Raw genomic sequence first — 23,869 nt, forward strand, 5'->3', positions numbered from 1 at the left:
TCAACTTCAAATACGAGTGTGGGACAAGGGGAAATCCTGAACATAAATGCCACACTGCAATGACTTGCAATTTGTTTTTTCTCAGTTTTTCTCTCAGCAACATTCTGTCTAAAGCACTTTCCCTCTGAATAGTCTACCTCTAACCATCAAAGAGCTGCTAAAGACAAGAATGCATAATTAAGTTAGACTAGGACCTGAAGTGGTCTCAAGTTTGATGCTCTACACCCTTGAAATTCCAGCCCACTAGAAGCCCAAGAAGGTCTCTGCACATCAATTTCACATGCTCCCACAAGAGACCAGATGTCCTCTCTCTGATTTGGGAGGACCCACCTGCCTTGGGCAACTGCTAGCTTTGACCTTTGGGCTGCTATTCTGGAAGCAAGTGAGAGAAGATGGGGTAGTGCAGGTAACAGACTGGTGAGTGGAAAGTATAATAAAAGGAGGGCCACGTGAACTGAACCAACGCACAGCCCTGCCCCTGGAGAGCTTAAAGAAAAGATGCAAGGACTCTACTCACTGCAGTGAATCAACTGTAAGCACAAGTTGGGATGGCAGAACTGAAATGGTTACAGCTAGTCATTCCTATCTATTGCAATGTATTTTCACAAAGGGGTACATAAATCATAAAAAATGTTTCAGACCTCACAAAGCTGTACATAAATCCTTAAAAAAAGTTTCAAACTTCATAAAAATAATATCCTAAGTAACAAATATTCCCTACCCTTAAGTTTTCCAAAGCTAAGTACAACCCCAGTGTGGCTGGGTGCTGACTGTAACACCCAAGGTGGGAGGAAGGGCCAAGCTCTCGCAACTGTCAGCAAAGGTGTGTGAGGGTCAATGGCTGCACCACCAAGAAACAGAGTGGAGACAATTAGAGGAAGCAAGGGCTAAGCAGAAAAGAGTTCACAGGAGACCAGGAGACTGAGGCCAGTGTGACCCTAAGCCAGGCCAAAGAAATGGTGATGCAGGAAAACTAAGGAAGTGCGCCCAAGTGAGGCAAGCAACACCAAAAAGGAACTTTTCTCAAATACACAGATGGTCTCCAACTTATCATGGTCTGACTTGCAATTTTTCAACTTTGTGATGGGTTTATCAGGGCATAACCCCATTATAAACTGAGGAGCCTCTGGACTTAACTATGGTTTGACTTACAATATTTTGACTTTAAGATAGGTTTTTCAGTGTATTTAATGCATTTTTGACTAACAATATTTTCAATTTACGATGGGTTTGTCGGGATGTAACCCTGTTGTAAATCAAGGAGCAACTGTATACGTATGGATGTGTGTGTCTATGTATGTGTGTTTTTTTAAATGCAATAGAATGGGATGTTAAAGGAAAACAGCAGAAAGATTAAACATACAAAAGAAACCCAAAATTTCTCTATTGTAATTATAAGTATTTGCTTCACATCTTATAAGCACTTTTTAAAATACTTCCTAAATTAAGTGCCCCTAAATGATGACTTTTTCAAAAATGCAATACTGAATGTTATTCTGAATCACCTTATTATACTTCTGTCGTTTTACAGAATCTAGTTTCCTGTTGATGTCTCTGCTGGTGGCAGCTTGAGGGCTAAGCTGTTCAATAATTTTATTGATTTGCCTTAGGGATGTCGTACATGACCTGAAAAATAAGATAAATTGTCTATTTTGCACTCTGATAACATTTTTATAGCATAATATAAAGAGAAAAATGCTAAAAACATGTCCCTTTTACTTCTTATTAACTAAAAGATAAAGGAAACTAAACCAGAATACATACCCTTATTGGCCACAAATAAAACTTGTAGGATCATTAGAGGTTTAAGATGACTGCTAGTGTTTTCTTTTATCTAGCTGATTTAGATCAGCTCATTCCCATTTGTAAGCTGCTTCAGTCATTCTACAAGCATTATTTAAGTGCCTACTTTATTCAACACACTATGCTAGAACAATGTGCAATAAGTTGTCCTTTTACATGAAAAAATGCATACATGGGTTTTTTAAGCCCGTTACGGAAGCCTTCCAAAGTCTGGAAGCATCCTAAATATGCTTAAACATTTTTTTATATAAATCACACATCTGCGACAATATTTTTCTTCTACATAAATGGAAGATTCACTTACTACAGCACTAAACTTTGTGGTGCAAAGAAAACAAATCAATTTAAAATAAATTACTCCTAAAATAGACACCATAGAATTGTAGCTTCCAATTTTCAAAACACAAATTCAATCTTCTTGATGATTGTGTAATTTGCTGTTTGTATCCTCTGTGGATTACAGGATAAACAATGCGTATTACTGGCTGAGACACCACATGCCACCAGCCATCTAGCATCACTCTGCATGGAGACCCCACAACTCTCCTCTGTCACCTCTGGAGAAAGAGGACACATTTCCAAGATCAAATGTAAAAGTATCATTACAAAGAGTTGAGGTCCTCAACACTCAGACTATAACCATGAACGAGCACCTGCTCCTGAGGAGGCCAAAAGAACACACCAGGGAATGGTTAGCAGAAAACATGTCTTTGAAGTACCAACAACCACATTCATGACAGCGCCACACTCCACCCTCCCCAGCTATCCTCTGTGACACTGCTCCATCCTCCATCCCGTTCAGCCCTCGCCTTCTTTCTTGCTTACCTGACACTGCCCAGAACACTGCCCAACGGGGGCCAAGCAGCAATGATAAGTGAGCTCAACCCCTCCCACTTCCCCTCTCCTGTCCTCACCTCCTACCCTTGCTCAGGTCTACAGCCTCCCCTTCTTCCCCATTAACGTGCTATGCTCAAAACAGCTCAAGTCTTCTCCCTCTCTAAGACACAAATAAAATCTCCATTTCCAGAGTCAGAACAAGGATGGAAGAAAAGAAAACCGGGGAGTCTTTATTATTTCTAAAAATGCAAATCTGAAAAATTGCCCAAGGACTGAACACTAAGTTTGGGGACAGTAAGCTAGAAAGAAGCTACCGCACAGAGAAAAATGTGAAGGGGGCGCAATGTATTCCTGGCATCTCGAATAGGAAACACCTGAATTTAGGTGCACCTCTCCTGAGATCACTTTGTGCACATGCTGGTGAACAGCCCTTCTCTTCTGGACATTATGCATGCAACTGGCTTTCACGAGCTGGACAGAGACTCTAACTACCATGTACAATGCCACTCCTAAGGGGAAGGGCTGGGACTCAAAGATGAGGTTGAGGACTGCCCTTATTGACTCTGTCCTCCAAATAAAAGGTTCTACACATCTCCTAAACTTCTGGAATACTAGAGCTTTCCATTACCTGAATATCCCTGTCATGTTTTACCACCACTTTGAAAGGAAGAAGATGGGCTGCACTCACGTGAGGTCATCCAGGACCGACCGATACTCCTTCTCCACGTCAACGAGCTGGGAGGCACGGCTGGCCTCATGGATGGCATTGTCCACCTGCTGAAGCACTCCCTGTTCCAGCACGTCCTGGTCATAGACGTCCACACCCAAACCCTGCAGCTCAAGGGCCTGGGCGCTAGGCTCTACTGCCTGGATCTGATGTCGGTCGATGTGCAGCAGGGCTGGCCCTCTCCTCGGAGCTGCTGATGCGCACCCCACAGCAGAGGTGGACAGCCCGTCACCCACAGAACGAAAGGAGAGGTACTCCTCCACCTCCCCATCACCACCACTTTCTTGCTTGATTGCCATTTCTTCATTATTACTGACAGGTTGACTCTGTAAACAGTCTTGCTCCTGAGTTTGACTTGAGTGGGGGATTCCCTCATTTGGCATTCTCTACAGACTACCTAAAAGGAAAAAAATTTATAAGCCTTTTCGTTATATAGGATTCATTGTAGTTCTTAAATATTTTATAATTAGAGCAGACTGATTTCTCAAAAGATCAAGTAATAATCTTCCAACTACATAAATTCAAGTTTCCAAGTATTAATTTACTAAAAAGGGACAACGTATCTTCTTGAGTTCTGATAATAAATAAGAAAAATTAACCAGAAAAAGAAATGCAGTATCATCAACAAAGGACATTTAGGCAGCCAGCTAAGAAAGCCAGCCACCAAAATCCTGGGGTGATGGCCATGGAATATTCTTCAAAACAGCTGAAGTCATTTGGCTGCTGTTTTCCAAGTTAGCATCTTCATTTCATTATGACACAAATGATTTATAATATAGTGGCAAGATCAACTGTAATGCATAGGAACAGCGATGTTAGGAAAGAGCTTCTGTGTGAATCTGAGACTAGAAACTCCTAGGCTGAATACCTATCCAGTAAATAGGAGCTTTGAACAAATCAGAAGCTCAGAAGATTAATTAGGCCAGGCACGTGGCTCAGTCCTGTAATCCCAGCACTTTGGGAGGCCAAAGCGGGAGGATAGAGACCAGCCAGGGAAACACAGCGAGCTCAGGACTTCGAGACCAGCCTGGGAAAGATAATGAGACCTTGTCTCTACTAAAAATTTAAAACCTTAGCCAGGCCTGGTGATGTGCACCTATAGTCCCAGTTACTCAAGGGGCTGAGGCAGGAGGATCACTTGAGCCTGGGAGATGGAGGCTGCAGTGAGCCATGATTGCACAACTGCACTCTAGCCTGGGCAAAAGAGCAAGACCTTGTAAAATAAATTTAAAGTTTTTTTAAAAGATTAATTAAAATATTCTCAAAAATAGGCTGGGCACGATGGCTCACATCTGTAATCCCAACACTTTGGGAGGCTGAAGCGGGCAGATTACTTAAGGTCAGGTGTTTGAGACCAGCCTGGCAAACATGGTGAAACCCGATCTCTACTAAAAATACAATAATTGGCTGGGTATGATGGTGAGCACCTGTAATCCCAGCCACTCGGGAGGCTGAAGCAGGAGAATCACTTGAACCCAGGAGGCGGAGGTTGCAGTGAGATGAGATCTCACCACTGCATTCCAGCATAGGCAACAGAGTGAGACTCAATCTCAAAAAAAAAAAAAAAAAAAAACAAAAAAAAAACTCCATTTTAATACACAGTATAATTTCTCACCCATCAGGTTAGCAAGAATTCAAAGCCTGATAGATAAATCCAATACAGACAAGGAGAAGGATCCCCCCTCACATAGTGCTGCTGAGAATATAAATTAGTAAAGCCCCTTGTAGGGACAACTTAGCAATATCTATTAAATTAAAGGCACATGACCTTTGTCAAGCAATTCTAGGTATTTATTCCAGAGAACTAGTCACACACAGGTGCAAGAATGTTTAGTGCAGCACATTTTTAATAGTTTAATGTAACTACTAAGTATATTCTGTATACTGATATAAAAGCCATGTTAAGTGAAAAAATTCATGGTATGAACACACTTATGCTGAAAAAAGTATCTATCCTGCACACAGAATGATCTGGCAGGATACAAACTAAGCCTGCAAATCAGGATGGGGAAGAGAAAGCACAGGGAAAAATAAGGGGGAATGTTCACATTGTACTCCACATACTCAGGACCTGCTGCTTTAAGGAGAATATATTCACTATATTACCTATACAACTATCACATCTAATAAATATATTAAAAAGCAAAACGATAACCAAAAATCAGTCTTGCTTTTTGTTTAACTGTGAATAAGATTTCTTTGAGCACTGTAACTTTTCTGTTAAATGACAAGTTCCCCCAGTGGGCCCCACTCATCCCTTATTAAGTAAAATAAGCCCAGCAATAAAGCACCGGGATACAAAGAATTCAGCATCATCTACACCCGAGTGGCTATCCACTGGAGCAGCAGCATGTCAGTTAACAACAGAGCAGGGCAGGTCAGCTAGCCCGGGACACGGACAAGAGGTCACACGAGCATCGAGCGAACTATATATGGTGTCTGGGGCCCAAGAAATATCACGGAGGAACTGAGATTTGAACACATGGGCCATGCATGGTCTGATATATAGGAGGTGCTCAATATCTGCTGAAAGGAAGTGAGGTTCAGAGCTAAGTCTAAAATAATAAAAAGTTTGGTCTGGACAAATGAGTCACCAGTGAATTCAGTCACAAAAATGAGACTCTCAAAAAGGAAGCAGATAGGAAGCAGGACTGGCAAGCAGCTTACATGTAATCAGTACCATTTGCAGCATGCAGTCAGAAATGCAAATCTGAGCTCAAGGGAAAGTCTGGGTGACATGTGGACACATCAGCAGAGTGAGCAGTTCCAGGGTTCCCAAGGCTCTGACAGGTACCTAAGGTCATTTTGGAGGGTACGAGGAGGCTAACATTGGAAAGGTTAAAAAGTGAACAACACAGTGAGAAAGTTCCTTCTTTTGGGGCCTGCTGATTATTTTCAAGAGGAAGGCTCAGCTCACCTCACTTTCCAACAGAGAGAGCAGGATTCCAGCTCAGAGTGTCTGTACTAGCTGGCAGTTAACAATTCTGTTTTCATTTTTCTTATTTGTACACACATGAGGATTTCTTTTTAAGAAAAAAGGATGCCAATTCAACCAAAAATATTAAGTAACCATTTTTCTATTTCTGTAAAATAATATCAAAAAGCAATAGTATTGTAGTGTAAAGACAAGGTTAAAAATAAAGAAGTTTGGGGAAAACTTCTAATAATAAAAAAGGAGGAAGAGCGTCCAGTGAATGAGAAAAGGCTGAGTGAATTTGGATACCAATGGGTCACCATTTACCTTGGTAAAAGAAGTTTCAGGCCAGGCTTGGTGGCTCACACCTGTAATCCCAGCACTTTGGGAGGCCAAGGCGGGTGGATCACCTGAGTTCGTGACCAGCCTGACCCAACATGGTGAAACCCCATCTCTACTAAAATACAAAAATTAGCCAGGCGTGGTGGTGCATGCCTGTAATCCCAGCTACTCGGGAGGCTGAGGCACGAGAATCGCTTGAACCCAGGAGGCAGAGGTTGCAGTGAGCTGAGATCACACCGCAGAACTCCAGCCTGGGCAACAAGAGTGAAACTCTGTCTCGAAAAAATAAAAAAGTTTCAGTGGAGCGATAGGGCCAAAAACCAGACTGTAGTGGTTGAAATGTAGTTGGTGTGTAAGGAGTGGATGAGGAAATGGAGGCCACAAGAGAGTGGCCTGTCCTTTAAAGAGCTTGCCTCTGGCAGGGAGACAGCTACAGTGATAAAGTAATAATGGATTTGTTGGGGGTAGGGAGAGAACTAGGGCAAGAAAAACTAGAGCACGTAATGGCTGGAGGGAGACAGAGGAGATAACCCAGAAAGGTGTACCAAAAGAGACAGCAAAAGTGGAAGGTCGCAAGCAGAAATGAACAGGAGGCACAACACATCTTTCTCGGACTCTGGCAGAAGGAGGATTCCTGATAGATCTAAATTTGCAGGTGGAAAGGAGGGAAGCTGAAGTGGATTACAGACAAAATATCCCACAAAGCAGCAAGTTGGGCAGTTCCTGAGTCAGGAGACAAAGTTGGCACTGGGGCTAAAGACTAAGAGTCTGGAATAAATGTCCTGTACAAGAGAAAAGGGAGTTGACAGGGAACAAACACTGATGATTGCTGTGGAGGACCTACCTGAGGATCTCCCCAGCCCTGCAAAGCCATAGACTGCTAACAATCTCCAGGGCTGAACAATCTCCTCCTTCAGTAGTCCTGGGGGAAATGTCACTATTGAGGGTTTTCAGAGCAGAAATGGTAGCGCAAAAGAGTCACGGGGTTGAAGATGCTGAGAAGAGTAGCTGAAGCAACTGACTTCAGGGTCCAAGCTGGGTAGGTTTAAAAAAACAAAAACAAACAAACAAAAAAACAGAAGGGGCCTGGAAATGGGAGAAAGGGTTCAAGAAGTCACTTAGTATCTGGCAATGGCCAGAAAACCAAGTCTTCTGGAAGTGAGAGTTGGAAACCAGAAGGCTCTTATCAGGTTAAAGAATTTCAGAAGTGAAATAAATCATACATTTGCCGGGAGCGGTGGCTCATGCCTGTAATCCCAGCACTTTGGGAGGCCGAGGCGGGAGGATCACGAGGTCAGAAGTTCGAGACCAGCCTGACCAACATAGTGAAACCCCGTCTCTACTAAAAATGCAAAAATTAGCTGGGCATGGAGGCGCGCGCCTGTAATCCCAGCTACTCGAGAGGCTGGGGCAGGAGAATCGCTTGAACCCAGGAGGCGGAGGCCGCAGTGAGCGAGATCGCACCACTGCACTCCAGCCTGGGCGACAGGGCAAGACTCCGTCTCAAAAAAAAAAAAAAAAAGAAAGAAAGAAATCATACATTTAACAAATAGTTACTGAGAGTTAATTACACCAGGCAATGTACTAGGTTAACTAATTCCTGTCCCCAAAGAGCTTAGAGTCTCATGGGAAAAACAGACATTTAAAAACTATATATATATATATACACATACACACACACACACACACACACACACAAATATAATTGTGGTGACTGCTGTTAAGAGGAAAGTACAAGGCTTTCTGACAAAATGAGAGAAACCAAATTGAAATTGTGGAGGTAGATGTGGGGTCAAGGAGGCCTCTCTGATAAAGTGACATCTGATAAGTCAGTCAGGTCGAAAGTAAAGTGAACGTCTTGCAAGGAAACAACGTGTGAAATTTTTTTTTTTTTTGAGACGGAATTTCGCTCCGGTTGCCCAGGCTGGAGTGCAACCTCCGCCAGGCTCCGCCAGGCTCACTGCAACCTCCGCCTTCCGGGTTCAAGCGATTCTCCTGCCTTGGCCTCCCGATTAGCTGGGATTACAGGCATATGCCATCATGCCCGGCTAATTTTTCGTATTTAGTAAAGACAGGGTTTCACCACGTTGGTAAGGCTGGTCTCGAACTCCTGACCTCGGGTGATCCACCCACCTCGGCCTCCCAACAACGTGCGTAACTTTTAAGACTAGAAAGAGCTGATGCACTTGTGAAAATGCAAGAAGGCTGGAACACCGAATTTTTGACTTTATTTTTAACTTTGAGTTAAGAAGAGCAGAGAAGGGCTCCGTTCATGGCCTAAGTCTTGCAGAGTATCTTCTAAGGCTTAATCATCTGGGACACTAGTATCTTCACCGTCCTCCCCCATCACTGGGGCTCCCGCAGCCAGGGGCAAGCTGGGTCTCATTTGGAGGGTTGGTCGGACACAGGCACAGTTCTGAGAGGGGACAGGCAAGGGCCAAATCACACAAGGCCTGGGAAAACACGAGCATGGATTCCACTCCCAGTGCAATGGAATGACTCTGAAAACTGTTAAGTAGGCTGATGATGGCATGACCTACTTTATGCCAGAGACCACCTGGACAACTGTGCGGATAATGGATTGGAGGAGACAAAGCAACAAGAAGATGATGGGAAAAGTTGAGGAGAAAAGCGAGGGCTGCCTGTCACAGGATGACAGCAGTTAAGACGCTGCGTGGAAGTCACGTAACAGCAGCATTTACAGGCGGCCTGCCTCATCCGCCCACACTCTTATCAATTTGACTCTATCAACGCCCAAAACGTCGGACGTACATCTAGCCCGACTCTCTTTAAAATAACAGCTCCAGCATTTTAATCGAGATCAAAAAGGACCCAGCTGACCCTGCGCGCAGGGGGCCTTATACAAAGTCGGAGAAGTAGCTGGGTCGCTGGCCGGCCAGGGACTCAAGCCGCCTCAGGTGAGCGCTCCTTGGCGCTACTTCCGGTCTCAGGTGAGGCCGCCGGAAGCGGGCACTTGGCCCTAAGACCCGCTACAGTGCGTCCTCGCTGACAGGCTCAATCACCACGGCGAGGCCAAGGCGCGGGGCCGCGGCCCGCCCGAGAAGCCTGAGCTGGGCCCCGACACCCCCTGCCCGACATTCGGCCGGGACCCCCGAACACTCACCCAGGGCCGCGCGAGCGCCCACAAGGAAACAGAGACGCTACCGCCGCCAGCCGCCTTGGAACCCAGCTCGACGGGCCGTGGCGCCTGCGCCCTCAGCTCAACCATAGACACCGCCCCCAACAGCGACTCCGACTTCTGCTGGTGCGGGGAGGCCCGTGGCGCATGCGCCTGGCTCAGCGTTTGTTTTTAAGCACGGGCAAGACCACGTGGTTTGGAGGGACGGGCTCAGCAGCGCCTTTCTACTTGCGTGCGAGCAGGGCGAGAAAGCTGTCTCCGCTGCCGGTCAGCTGGGTGGCTTGCGAAGGACGCTTCGCCCCTAGCGAAAAATACCCTGCTGGCAAGGCAGTTATGAAAGTTAAGACATATTTCCACGTAGAGGGGGATGCGGGTGTGCCATGCGAATGTAAATCCTCACAATTAACCTTGAACCCTGCAGAGAAAGTCAGCTTGGGCAGGGAAGTTAGCCGCACTTTTTGGTCGCCAGGCTGTGACCTCTCTTGTTGTCTCCCACGACTGAACACGGGAAGGATGGAGAGCTGTCCTGCTTCTCTGTTCCCCCTCCGCCACGCGCGCACCTGGGCGGAGTGAGTGCCTACAGAGCCTGCTTACATGTGTACATTGCCTTAAGTCCAGCGTTTAGTATCCGTCCTCAGATCTCAGAGGTAGGCGGGGTTTCGAGGCAGGCGAGAATTTTACCGTGGTGCGTTTGAAGAAAGAAGATGTCCACACAGAGGTTCAGAACAATGGGAGGAAGTTGAGCTTCGCCTGGGGAAAGAAGCAGCCCACGATGCAGGATGGCTGTACCAGACAGAGCTTCTCAGCTCAGGATCGGTGCTAGGAGAAGGTGGACTTTCCAGGGCCGCGAGGCAGGACGTCCTCTGGGAGGGCAGTGACTGCGGGTCACTGCCTGGGAAGTGCTGTCCTCACTTGGAAGCCTGAAGTCGGACAATAGGGAAATGGGGTCGGAAAGGGGACTAGGAAATGCTCCATAACATCATCTTATTCCTCCTGTCAGCGGCCCCAACCCACAATGTAACTTGTTTTTGTTGGTGGTAGTGGGTTTTTTTGTTTGTTTTGTTTTTGTTTTTGTTTTTGAGACGGAGTTTTGCTCTTGTCGCCCAGGATGGAGTACAATGGCACGATGTGGGCTCACTGCAACCTCCTCCTCCCAGGTTCAAGCGATTCTCCTGCCTCAGCCTGCCGGGTAGCTGGGATTACAGGCGCCTGCCACCATGCCCAGCTAATTTTTGTGTTTTTAGTAGAGACGGGGTTTCGTCATGTTAGCCAAGCTGTCCGCGAACTCCTGACCTCAGGTGATCCACCCGCCTCGGCCTCCTAGAGTTCTGGGATTACAGGTGTGAGCCACCACGCCCGGCTTGTAACTTGCTTTTTTTTTTTTTTAAAGGAGAAAGAATTCTAGCGATTTCTTGGATAAAATATTAAGAATAGAAAGGCAGTTGATTGACATTAGTTTCAATGCTTGAAAGTAAAAGCAGATATATAGTGGATCCCAACTTTTGAGACTGAGGTTCCCTTTGCAGCTATTTTGGAGACCCTTCCTATATCAGAATTTGGACAGGAAAAAATGGTCCACTCAAAAGGGGAAGTTGAGAGTTATTATTTACAAAGACGTGGGCGGGGTTCAGGAAAACAACTCAGGGTGGCACAACTGGAGCTATTAAGGGCCGAATTGTGTCCCCTCCCCAAAATTCATATGCTGGAGTCCTAACCGCCACTCCCCACCCCCACCCCGGGACCTCAGAATGTGACTGTATTTGAAGATAGGGTCTTTAATGAGGGAATTTAGTTAAATGAGGTCCCAAGTTATTTAGCAAGTCGTCCAAGCCCTTTTATACTCCTGCCCCATCTAATTTTTCTGCATCACTTGTGTCCTTCACTCCCTGGATGCCTATGCTCAGGATTTAGGGAACTACTTACTCTTCTCCCAGGAAGGGTGTGCTACAATTGGCTTCTACGGCCTAGCAAGCATACTGTTCACCTCTTCCCAGCTGCCTTAGCTCAGGCTGCCATAACAAATGCCATAGACTGGGCAGCTTAAACAACAGGCATTTGTTTCTCATAGTTCTGGAGGCTGGGAAGTCCAAGATCAAATGCAGGCAGATTTAGCTCATTTAGGGGAAGCTCTCCTCATGGCTTGCAAATGGTTACCTTCTCACTGTGTCCTTACATGGGGTAGAGAGAGGGCTCTGTCTTCCCTTTCTTCTAAGGCATCAGCCGTATTGGATTAGGGACTCACCCTTATGATCTCATTTAACCAGATTTGCTGCCTAAAGACCCTGTCTCCAAATAGTCACATTGAGGGTTAGGGATTCAGCATATGAATTTGGGGGGCACCCAGTTTAGCCCATAGCACCAACTCTGCCTTTGTTGACTTCACATTAATAGCTTGAAATCAGCCATAGTAGGAGTATTTATACCACAGAAATGGACAAACTATAAACTGGAACTTTGGGGGAGAGGCAATTATTAATCTTTTCCCACATACCCCTACTTGTTATTCTGTCACTTCTGTGATCTTACAAGCAGGTCCCTCTGCTTAGAATTCTCTTACCCATTCCAAACTCAGACAAAGTTTCTCTTTTCTGAAGCTTTCCCCTACCCTCTGACAGCAATAGGCTCTTGCATCTCCTGTGTACCCCCAAACCAATATTTCTAATGTCATTATTATAGTAGTTATTGATTTGGATTTTAATCCATTTTCCCTACCATTTCCTAGCCCTTACTCTAAGCTGGGCATTATTTTAAACACCCCACCCAAGGGGTTCTTCCTGCCCACTGCATAAAGAAAGACCATAGCATTGTGGTAGAAAAAGAGCTTAATAGACACGAGGCCGACCATGCCAGGTGGGAGATGGAGTGCATGCTCAGGTCATCTGATCCAAAGTCCGAAGCTCATAGGCTGGGGGTTTTTCAAACGCAGTTTGGAGGAAGGGGTGGGAGTGGCCAGGTAACAGGTGCTTGCTGCTGATTGGTTGAGGCTGAGATGAAATCATAGGGGGAGTCAAAGCTGTCCTCCTGCAGTCTGAATCACTTCTGGGTGGGGCTGTGGGAGTGGGGTTGGCGGTCCAGGTGGAGCCATGGGTGTCAGACATGCAAAAAACCTGGAAAGATATCTCAAAAAGCTACAAATAGTGGTTGTATTAGTCTGCTCTCGTGCTGCTAATAAAGACATACCCAAGACTGGGTAATTTATAAAGGAAAGAGGTTTAATTGACTCACAGTTAAGCATGGCTGGGGAGGCCTCTGGAAACTTACAATCATGGTGACAGGGGGAGCAAACATGTCCTACTTCACATGGTGGCAGCAAGGAGAAGTGCAGAGTGAAGGAGGGGGAAAGCCCCTTATAAAACCATCAGATCTCGTGAGAACTCACTATCAGAACAGCATGGAGGTAACCACCCTCACGATTCAGTTATCTCCCACCGGCTTCCTCCCACAACATGTAGGGATTATGGAAACTACAATTCAGGATGAGATTTGGGTGGGGACACAGCCAAACCATATCAGTGGTGTTATTTGCAGGAGTAATTGGGAAAGTTGAGTATCTTATAACCTCCAGAATAATGACTGACAATCGTTCATATCTGCGCCTTAGCAGGACTCAGGCTCCTCTCCTCCCCCACAGCCTGATAGCTTCCCATTAGCTTTACAAAAACAGTTGAGTTTCAGGCAAGGTCTGTTATCATGTAAACTATAGCCTAAATGTCTCTCAAAGTTAGCTGGCCCCAGTAGCTTAGAAATAATTAAGGGAAAGGCAAGATAGGTGTTGGAATGGGGGCGTTAACTCAGACCTCTTTCACTGTCATAATTTTCTAACTGATATAATTTTTGCAAAGGTGGTTTCATTGTCTTGAGTGCTTTACTAATGTTAACTTGTTTAACTATGACGATATTCATCCTTGCGCCTTTATTTCACATTTCGTGTTCAATATAAGGAATTCTCCCAATGACCTACAGAACAGAGGTCTGAGTTGACTCTCACTTTTCAAAACTTCTGGGTAACGGCAGTGCAACAAAACCGGTTTGGTTCTCTGATCCTTATAAATGGGGAAAACTCATGAAAAATAATTAGATGTATTGGAAACACAATAAATACTTTGTAAAAATTATAAATCAAAAAAGAAGCAAAAGCATATTATTTAGAACTGTGTTGGCAACCACTAGAAAAACATGTTAAATGTATGTTGAATAAATGAATCAGCAAGCTTAAAAGCAATGAATGTATAAAACCATCCATTGTGAACTGTTACCAGGAAGGATTCCCGATCCAGATGCCGAGAGAGTTCTTAGACCTTGAGTAAGAAAGAATTCGGGGCAAGTCCATAGAGTAAAGTGAAAGCAAGTTTATTAGGAGAGTAAAGGAATAAAGAATGGCTACTCCATAGGCAGAACAGCAACTTGGGCTGCTTGATGAGAATACTTATAGTTATTTCTTGATTATATGCTAAAGAAGGGGTAGATTATTCCTGAGTTTTCTAGGAAAGGGGTGGGTAATTCCCAGAACTGAGGGTTCTTCCCATTTTTAAACCATATAGGGTAACTTTCTGATATTGCCATGGCATTTGTAAGCTGTCATGTGCTGATAGGAGTGTCTCTTAGCATGCTAATGCATTATAATTAGCATATAAGGAAGAGTGAGGATGACCAGACATCACTTTCATTGCCATCTTGGTTTTCGTGGGTTTTGGCCAGCTTCTTTACCGCAAACTGTTTAATCAGCAAGGTCTTTGTCACCTGTATCTTGTGCCAACCTCCTACCTCATCCTGTGACTTAGAATGCCTGCCCTCTTGGGAATACAGCTCAGTAGGTCTCAGCCTTATTTCACCCAGCCCCAATTCAAGATGGAATCACTCTGGTTCAAATGCCTCTGACATATTTCTCCCTTCCCTTTTACAAGGGAACGCCTAATCCAAAGGGTAGTAGAGGGACAAAGATCCATCTTCTGTAACTTCTTCAAGCTGAATAAGGGCTATGCTACTCCTACCTAACTATTATGGTCTCTTGTATTCAGGGTAGTGAGGAGCTCAGTCAGAAGGCATCACTATGGTGAGGGACATTCATAACTCTTGAGGGCAAAAGGTGATATCTGGAAGATTAAAAAGTATTCAATTTAATTAAACATTGAGTAAGCTTATCCTGCACTCCCACACGGAGTACAACAGCAATATGTTCCACAACGGTAAAGCAAAATAAGTAAAACTATCCCAAGTAAACTAAATTAGAAGGCTTTCCATGAACTCGGCAACAGCTGGAACTGGGCAAGCTGATATGAAGTTGCTGTACATGCTATATGTTCCAATTAGAATTAGAATATTGATCCAGATTTTTACATTACCCATTTCTGTTATTTTTTTTCTGAGCAGCAGCCAGAGATCACTGGTTAGTTGGCAGGAAAAAGTAGGGTTAGTCTAAATTGCAAGGAAGAAAAAACCCTTAAAAATAACTGATGAGACTAGAATCTAATAACAGGTGTACCATAGTTGAAACATAACTTTTTTCTCTCTTCAGGCTCCCACTTTTATTAAAGACAAATCATGGTAAGACTGATTTGCTTCCAACTAAATAAATTTAGTTTTATACTTGGCCTGATTCTTCGTAAAAAGGGCAGCAAGAATAATTATTTTTCACATGGGTTTTTTTTTTGTAATTGGATTTGATGGATCTTTGTTCTATAAGGAATTTTAAATAAGACTTTTTTTAAAACTGAGCCCAGCCATGGGTTGCTGCCATCAAATACCTGTAAGTTGGGTAAATTCCTCTCCTCCTGAGGTCCCAAGATATTGGTGCTCCTGGGCCTCTCAGAAAGTTGCATTCTTTACTTATTACAGACCAAGAACCCTGTACAAGGACTGTGTAGACAAGGTATGAGGCCAGTTTTCCCAAGGGGCTTTTATTGTCTCTATAAGTCAAGTTTGATTCCTTGAAGCAGTTTGTTTATATTTGAAAGCATGCCATTCCAGTCAAAGGCTTGGTAAAATAATCAGTTCCTCCAACTGTGTCCTGTTGTAAAAGAAAACAGATTCTTACTGCACTTATGTAAATAACTATATTGCCATAAGAATACTCACAAATAGTTTCCAAATTCTGGAGAAATCAGGTAGAGAGAAATATGCTTCAAATTTTGTTTATAGGCATACTCAGCTGCTACAAGTTGTAAATAAAAGTTTTCTTGACTGTGAAAAACAAAACAAAGGATCAGCAACACTTTAAGAAAAAAAGTCAAAAAGATTACTTCAGGCTTCTATTAGTTTACTCCATGCAGTTGACTCCTGTTCTGCTTGATAGTCATGAATATTTCAGCTCTCCATGAGAGTCCTAAATGTTTTTTCCTCTATTCTAATGTCACAATCTCCTAAGTTATTCAGAAACCTGCATTTAAGAGCACCTGTCAAAGTCGTATAGTTGATTATAAACCACCTTTTGAAGAGGAACAATACAAGATAACACTTGTCTGTGGATGACAAAAAACCTTAGGACAGTCACTATTAAAGTCACAATTGACTAGGAATTTTGGTTACTTTTGTGCATACAAAGACTTGTCATAATTATAATTATTAACAATATACACTAAGTCATACAAGAATTATAGGAGTTTCTCAGCTGGGTGTGGTGGCTCATGCCTGTAATCCCAGCACTTTGGGAGGCTGAGGCAGGCGGATCATAAGGTCAGGAGATCAAGACCATCCTGGCTAAAACAGTGAAACCCCATCTCTACTAAAAATACAAAAAAAAAAAAATTAGCTGGGCATGGTGGTGGGTGCCTGTAGTCCCAGCTACTTGGGAAGCTGAGGCAGGAGAATGGTGTGAACCCAGGATGTGGCGGTTGCAGTGAGCAGAGATCACACCACTGTACTCCAGCCTGGGTGACAGGGCAAGAATCCGTCTCACAAAAAAAAAAAAAAAAAGTAAAAGAATTATAGGAGTTTCTCATAATTTTGGAACAGATACCAATAAATATTTATAAAAATACAGCCCAAAGAAAGCCAAACACCATTTCATATTTGACAGTGCTTTCTGTATGATTTTTATACCAAATAAGCCAAATTTCACCATGGCATTAGTGCATTATTGATGTTAAACCAAATTCTTAATAAAACCTTAAAGACAAATCTATCCAATTTTAATGTCTGACCATAAGGTAAGATTCTCATAAATCTTTTATAACCCCTTACAAATTTTTGTTAAAGAGTAGATAAGTGCTCTAAGAAAAACCTGTTGTGTTTTTATTCCAATGTTCAATTTATGAAAAAACCGAATAATTCCCCTTTAACTTTAGCCAATATGTTCACACACAGAATTTCTTTTACAATATGCATTTTTCACAAACCTCCCAGCACTTGCTCAAACCTTCAGCTTTATCCTATCTAACTTAAACCAATCCTTTAGCCCTCTAAACTAGGCCAAAAAAAAAGTCCACATTCCCATGCCTTCTTATAATATTTTACCAAAAATACATTTCACTTTCCTTACATACCTTGCATGTAAAACTGTTTCCCTAGTAGTCCGTTTTTTTTGTTTTGTTTTGTTTTGCTTTGTTTTGTTTTGTTTTGTTTTGAGGCAAGGTCTCATTCTATTACCCAGGCTGCAGTGCAGTGACACAATTTCAGCTCGATGCAACCTCCACCTCCTGGGCTCAAGCTATCCTCCCACCTCAGCCTCCCAAGTAGCTGGGGCTACAGACATCACCACCATGCCCAGCTACTTTTTGTATTTTTTATAAAGACAGGGTTTAGCCATGTTGCCCAGGCTAATCTGGAACTCATGAGCTTAAGCGATATTTCCACCTCAGCTTCTCAAAGTGCTGGGGATTACAGGCATAAGCCACTATGCCTGGTATATCTCTAGTAGTCTTAATTACATGTTACAATGTTAACTCTTAGCAACTTTTATTTTTGGTGAAAAACCTGGTAAGTAAGTGATTCTAATTATGTACCAGCTTTGGAGCTTAAGACACCAGACAGAAGTGTAGATAAGGTCTGACTCTTTCTAGCATAGCCAGGAGGCATGGCTAACTCCACATGTCCTCAGGCCTTACTTAGAATCTAATGGCTCCAAAGCAGGTACTAGAACAATTTTTAAAAGTGAAAGAAGCAATTGACCTTAAAGTATTCAGCAACCAGTGTAATTTAGACCAAATGTTTTAATTTTACCAATAATCTGTAAAACTGTCTTTATTTCCCAAAGATTAAATCAAATAATCTTTGGGAAATACAGATTGCTTGATTGATTTAAGCTCTTATTATTTTTAAGCCAATTAATCAGAGCTCTTTCATTTATACATATCACACATACAACACATTTAAATAGACAGACAGATCTAGTAGTTGTAAGATTTTTCATTTGCCAGCTTTTAAGTTTCTCTTTAAAGTGTGCAATTTCTAGGGCCTAATAAGCAGGCACAGCTGGAAGGCAAAACAGATTCCCCAAAATTTTGGGTCCCATTTTTATACCAGATCCTGGATCGCAAAAAGAGGAAATCAGGCCATTTCCCATGGGAGTCTTATCTCTCAGTAGTGAGTGGGTATATTTCCATATCTTCCAGGGGGCCAAGAGCATGTTTCTCTGATCCAAATGTGCAAAGAGTTGAGTATCCCCCCATAACTGTCATTAGCCATCCCTAAAAGTGCATTTCCTCCCTTGTTATTATACACTAAAGTTCTCTCACAGGGCAAATTTCTGATACCCCCAAAAGTCAAAAACATCAGATAATGCAATGCAAAAGAGAACAGAGCCTTATATTTTAGAGGGATCTATCCACTTTCGATTCCTGGGATTTTATGAGGAAAACAGAGATTTTTCCCAAAATGAGGTCGTGGCACCTCCTCTGTTTTTCCCAAGAAGTCCCATGCTGCTAGAAATTCTTAGGTCCTCTCATGTGTGCATCAAGAATGGCAAGAAGACAAAATGGAGAAAAACAGTTCATTCAACTGAGAAGAAAAAAAAACCTTTTTTCCAGAAAAACATCTTCCAAGAAGAGAAGAAACATAAAGTTCTTTTAAATATAGGTAAAGCTTGGCTATCCACTTTTAATTAAGCTAACTTTTAACCATACCACTCTTTTTAAAAAGTCCTTTTAAATTTCTTGTTACTGATCTCACCCAGGCCAAATGGCCAATATTTCTGGCTTTTGAATTTTACCAACAGTAACCTCTCAGGCAAAACCAGTAAGCCTTAACTAAGGTTATAACTTAACCACGAGTCAACGAGTTTTTTTCAAAGAGATGGTTAGCAGTTTTTACAAAATGTAAAATCTCCAAAGGTAGCTCAGAGAAAGGAAAATTCAAGAAGGAAGTCAGAAGTTGTTCACAGAGGGGCAGAGAATCAACAAATGGCAACATTCACACAGATATGAACCAAAAAGTACTCATTCCCTAGGCCAGGAATTGAACCCTGAACCCGGGCCCCCATTGTGAAAAGACAAAGCCTTAGCCACTAAGCTACAGCACTGGACAGTTTCTGTTACTCTTCCCAGAAGGAGCCTAGAAGCAGCCAATTCTTAGCTTGCAAAAACTTTTAACTGCTCAAGACAATTTTTAAGGCTATGACATGAATTCCAAAATTCCTATTCTCCGGATGGTGGAGAAAGAGAAACTACTGCCCCGCAGTTACAAGATCAAGCTCCCAAGAACGTAGAACAAGATGAGAGGGAAACCTCATCCAGTTTCATTGTTTCAGGGACCTGCAGCAAAGTTTGTTACTGACCAGCTTGCTGGAGTGTGTTGAACAGTGGTTTTATGGGATACTAAGCCCATGTTCTCTCCTAAGATACTCTTCTTTATGACAGAATGATACAGAAAGACAAATTTATAGCACAAAATACATCAGATTCACTACAGCTTAAGACTAGCCTCAGAAATCCTTTTTCTCATTAATTAAAATTGCAAGAGATAATGCAAGAGATGGTGATTTTTACCATTCCTACAACAAATTTGTGCAGAGAGATAGGAAAAGGAAGGGAGAAAAGCATTGCCTGCAGTGGGGTAGGGAAGGCAAAGAGCTCATGGAGGCCAGAGAAAGACCCACCCATTGCAGTGACACTGAACCAGAAGTTCAGGTGGCCACTTGTCAGCCACAAAGGGATATTTTCCAGCATGCCCATCAGCTCTCAATTGTCCCCCTTTGGGGAGGAAAAAGCTCCCCATGTCCCATGGTCCTGTACATGCTTAATTCTGTCACCCACAGCCATCAGCAAAGAATGCAAGACAGATTAATCCAGAGAGAATAATAGTCAACATCCTGCAGGGCCAAATCCATTTTTAACCAAGAAGGACTTTACTGACAGGGGCCTCTAACCCCCTAAATCTTAGGAAGGACTCTAACCTTCCTAAGTTGGGCCTCAAACCCAAGTTCAGTCAAGCATCCTTGCCTTTTATTAAGAGGGGCCTTTAACCCTCTCTGTCTTAGGAGAGACTCTAACCTTCCTAAGTTAGGCCTCTAACCCAATCTCATCCTTTACCTGAGTAAAATGTACCCCGCCATGTACCCAAAGTTAGCCAATTGGTGCTGCAGTCTATTTCGTTTGGGTCAGGGTCTCCTCAGTATAGTCCCTTTGTGGTTCACCAGGAAGATGTTGCCAGAAAGGGATGTCAATCCAGACCTCAAGAGAAGGTTCCTGGATCTTGTGCAAGAAAAAATTTGAGGCAAATCCATAGAGTAAAGTAAAAGTAAGTTTATTAAGAAAGTAAAGGAATAAAGAATAGGCAGTGCAGCCCCAGGGGCTGTTGGTTGCCCATTTTTATGGTTATTTATTGATGATATGCTAAAAAAGGAATGGATTATTCATGAGTTTTCTGGGAAGGGGGTGGGCAGTTCCCAGAACTGAGGGTTCCTCCCCTTTTTAGACCATATAGGGTAACTTCCTGACATTGTCATGGCATTTGTAAACTGTCATGGTGCTTGTGGGAGTGTCTCTTAGCATGCTAACACATTATAATTAGTATATAATGAGCAATGAGGATGACCAGAGGTCACTTCACCACCATCTTGGTTTTAGTGGGTTTTGGCTGGCTTCTTTACTGCATCCTTTTATCACCAAGGTCTTTGTGACCTGTGTCTTGTGCTGACCTCCTGTTTGATCCTGTACTTACAAATGCCTAACCTCCTAGGAATGCAGCCCAGTAGGTCTCAGCCTTATTTTACCCAGACCCTATACAAGATGGAGTTGCTCTGGTTTAAACACCTCTGACATAACCACCCAACACATTCACCTTGCCTGCTGCCTAGAGCCTAGACAGAGCCAATTTATAAAGACAGAGGAGCTGCAATAGAGAAAGGGTAATTCATGCAGAGCTGGCTGTGCAGACCAGAGTTTTATTATTACTCAAATCAGTCTCCCTAAGAATTCGGAGATCAGAGTTTTGTTTTGTTTGTTTTTTTGGAGACACAGTCTCTCTCTGTTGCCCAGGCTGGAGTGCGGTGTTGTGATTTCAGCTCGCTGCAACCTCCTCCCAGGTTAAAGCAATTCTTGTGCCTCAGCCTCCTGAGTAGCTGGGATTACAGGCAAGCACCACCAAGCCCAGCTAATTTTTGTATCTTTAGTAAAGACAGGGTTTCACCACATTGGCCAGGCTGGTCTTGAACTCCTGGGCTCCAGTGATCTGCCTGCCTGGGACTCCCAAAGTGCTGGGATTACAGGTGTGAGCCACTGTGCCCGGCTGGGGATTGGAATTTTTAAGGATAGTTTGGTGGGTAGGGGCCAGTTAGTCATGAGTTCTGATTGGGCAGGTCAGAGATGAAATCACAGTGAGTCGAAGCTGTCCTCTTGTGCTGAGTCAGTTCCTGAGTGTGGGCCACAAGACCAGATTAGCTCAGTTTATCAATGGCGGGGGGGGGGGGGGGGGGGGGCGGGGGGCAGCTTATTCACTGAGTACAGCAAAATATCTCAAGAACTGATCTCAGGTTTTACAATAATGATGTTATCCCCAGGAGCAATTTGAGGAGGTTTAGAATCTTGCAGCCTCCAGCTGGATGACTCCTAAACCATAATTTCTAATCTTGCAGCTAATTTGTTAGTCCTGCCAAGGCACTCTAGTCCCCAGGCAGGAAGGGGGGTTTGTTTTGGGAAAGGGCTATTATCATCTTTGTTTCAAAGCTAAACCATAAACTGAGTTCCTCCCAAAATTAGTTTGGTGTACACTCAGGAATGAACAAGGACCTCTTGGAGGTTAGAAGCAAGATGGAATCAGGTCAGATCTCTTTCCCATAGAAATTGCCTCAGTTACAATTTTTGCAAAGGCAGTTTCAATTGCAGTACATGGTGCTCCATAGAGACTAAGCCAGGACAAGTGAGAGCCAGATGGGCACTGGGAGAAAAAACAACTAAATGTGGACAAAGGAGACCCTAAGAAGCTGAGAGGCAAAATGTTATCATGCATTCTTTGTGCAAGCTTGCCTGGAGGAGCAGAAGAAGAACCCAGACGCTTCAGTCAGATTCTCAGAGTTTACTAAGAAGTGATCAGAGATGCAGAAGTCCATATCTGCTAAAGGGAAAGGAAAATCTGAAGACATGCCAAAGGCAGACAAGTCCTGTTATAAAAGAGAAATGAAGGCCAGGCGCCGTGGCTCACGCCTGTAATCTCAGCACTTTGAGAGGCTGAGGCGGGTGGATAATGAGCTCAGGAGTTCAAGATCAGCCTGGCCAAGATGGTGAAACCCCGTCTCTATTAAAAATACGAAAAATTAGCTGGGCATGGTGGCAGGTGCCTGTAATCCCAGCTACTTGGGAGGCTGAGGCAGGAGAGTCGCTTGAACTCGGAGGGTGGAGGTTGCAGTGAGCCGAGATCACGCCACTGCACTCCAGCCTGGGCAACAGAGTGAGACTCCGTCTCAAAAAAAAAAAAAAAAAAAAAAAGAGAGAGAAATGAAAACCTATCTTCCTCCTAAGGGAGAAACAAATAAAAACTTCAGGAATTTCAGTGTGCACAAGATGATTCCTCAGGCATTTTTCTTATTCTATTCCATCACCCCAGAGTCAAAGGAAAACACCTGGACTATCCTTTGGGGATGTTGCAAAGAAGCTTGGAGAGAAGTGGAGTTGGCTTGAAAGGAAGCGGCTGAGGCAAAGTTAATATAAGTAGAGAGTTTATGTGGGCCAAGCTTGAGGACTGCAATCTGGGAGCACAGATTCAAGTTGTCCTAGATATACAGTCTGTTAAAAGTAGGTTTTTAAAGGAAAAGAAGACGAGCTTCTTAAGTTGTTTACCAAGAATTTACATTAAAATAACATAAGCTATTGATTGTCTATATATTGTTCTGTGTGTAGGAACATGAAGATAATTCAAATTCCAAGAACATGAAGATAACGGGTGAGGCAGATAGTCAGGAACAAGGAGTCTTTAAACAATTGCCCTCGGGCATGGGTGTAGAGGACATGACTAAAGTCTCATACTTATGTCTCTGTGGACCAGATGAATTTTGCATACTTCACATAGCTCAGAATGCTCTAAGCTATTTTTCTTTTCTCAGGAATAATAATACTGCTGCAGATAACAAGCAGCCTTAGGAAAAGAAGGCTGAGAAGCTGAAGGAAAAATACAAAAAGGAAATTACTGCATACCAAGCTAAAGGAAAGCCTGCCAAAAAGGGAGTCATCAAGGCTGAAGAAAGTAAGAAAATAGAAGGAAGATGAAGAGGAGGAGGAAGAAGATAGAAGATGAAAATGATGATGAATAAATTGGTTCTAGTCCAGTTTTTTTTTTCTTATCTATAAAGCATTTAACCCCTGTGTATACAACTCACTCATTTTAAGGGAAACAATTGAAATGTGTAAGATTTGTATTTAAACTATACAGTGTCTTCCGTTTGTATAGCCGACCCACTATCAAATTTGTCTTTAGATAGCCTTGATGGTATTTTCAACAGACTCTAACCTTGCCTGGTACAGTATGGGAGTTGTAAATTGGCATGGAAATTTAAAGCAGGTTCTTTGGTGCACAGCACAAATCAGTTACATGTAGGAATGATGGTTTCTTCATCTTCAGTTTGCTCTGATATGGCTTGTATGAAATAATTGTTTGTTAACTGAATAACACTCAGTAATTGCAAAAAAAGAAAAAAGAAGAAGAAGTTGCTGCTAATTTGTAACTGCCAATTGGTTCTTCT

At 43.2% G+C, this 23,869-nt stretch overlaps 1 protein-coding gene and 1 pseudogene across 4 annotated transcripts in view, besides 7 other annotated features; one reads left to right on the top strand and one right to left on the bottom strand.

Annotated features, from left to right (window-relative positions):
• ERCC6 (ERCC excision repair 6, chromatin remodeling factor) overlaps positions 1-10,324 on the bottom strand; it is a 104,658-nt gene extending 94,334 nt beyond the window's left edge. For 2 of the 4 annotated variants that reach the window (NM_000124.4, NM_001277058.2), the window contains exons 1-3: positions 9,748-9,907; positions 3,329-3,764; positions 1,506-1,626 (exon numbers count right to left, since the gene is read on the bottom strand). In NM_000124.4, the coding sequence (NP_000115.1) occupies positions 1,506-1,626; positions 3,329-3,750 (543 nt within the window). In that variant the 5' untranslated portion in view covers positions 3,751-3,764; positions 9,748-9,907. Of the gene's footprint in view, positions 1-1,505; positions 1,627-3,328; positions 3,765-9,747; positions 9,908-10,217 lie in introns of those variants that run through there. The other 2 variants (NM_001346440.2, NM_001277059.2) reach the window with 2 other exon arrangements.
• Positions 5,560-5,719: an enhancer, noted in NCBI's record as "active region_3350". NCBI's record gives its function as "activates an Ori minimal core promoter by ATAC-STARR-seq in GM12878 lymphoblastoid cells {active_cell/tissue: GM12878}" and the evidence as "EXISTENCE:reporter gene assay evidence [ECO:0000049][PMID:35858748]".
• Positions 6,878-6,927: an enhancer, noted in NCBI's record as "active region_3351". NCBI's record gives its function as "activates an Ori minimal core promoter by ATAC-STARR-seq in GM12878 lymphoblastoid cells {active_cell/tissue: GM12878}" and the evidence as "EXISTENCE:reporter gene assay evidence [ECO:0000049][PMID:35858748]".
• Positions 6,958-7,017: an enhancer, noted in NCBI's record as "active region_3352". NCBI's record gives its function as "activates an Ori minimal core promoter by ATAC-STARR-seq in GM12878 lymphoblastoid cells {active_cell/tissue: GM12878}" and the evidence as "EXISTENCE:reporter gene assay evidence [ECO:0000049][PMID:35858748]".
• Positions 8,416-8,604: a silencer, noted in NCBI's record as "fragment chr10:50745676-50745864 (GRCh37/hg19 assembly coordinates)". NCBI's record gives its function as "represses an EF-1alpha promoter that drives an FKBP-Casp9 reporter gene in an ReSE screen in K562 erythroleukemia cells {active_cell/tissue: K562}" and the evidence as "EXISTENCE:reporter gene assay evidence [ECO:0000049][PMID:32094911]".
• Positions 9,550-9,839: a silencer, noted in NCBI's record as "silent region_2363". NCBI's record gives its function as "represses an Ori minimal core promoter by ATAC-STARR-seq in GM12878 lymphoblastoid cells {active_cell/tissue: GM12878}" and the evidence as "EXISTENCE:reporter gene assay evidence [ECO:0000049][PMID:35858748]".
• Positions 10,260-10,319: an enhancer, noted in NCBI's record as "active region_3353". NCBI's record gives its function as "activates an Ori minimal core promoter by ATAC-STARR-seq in GM12878 lymphoblastoid cells {active_cell/tissue: GM12878}" and the evidence as "EXISTENCE:reporter gene assay evidence [ECO:0000049][PMID:35858748]".
• Positions 10,350-10,589: an enhancer, noted in NCBI's record as "active region_3354". NCBI's record gives its function as "activates an Ori minimal core promoter by ATAC-STARR-seq in GM12878 lymphoblastoid cells {active_cell/tissue: GM12878}" and the evidence as "EXISTENCE:reporter gene assay evidence [ECO:0000049][PMID:35858748]".
• Positions 22,094-23,438, top strand: HMGB1P50 (high mobility group box 1 pseudogene 50; annotated as a pseudogene).

Source organism: Homo sapiens, chromosome 10, assembly GCF_000001405.40.
Source record: "Homo sapiens chromosome 10, GRCh38.p14 Primary Assembly".
NCBI classification, from domain to species: domain Eukaryota; kingdom Metazoa; phylum Chordata; class Mammalia; order Primates; family Hominidae; genus Homo; species Homo sapiens.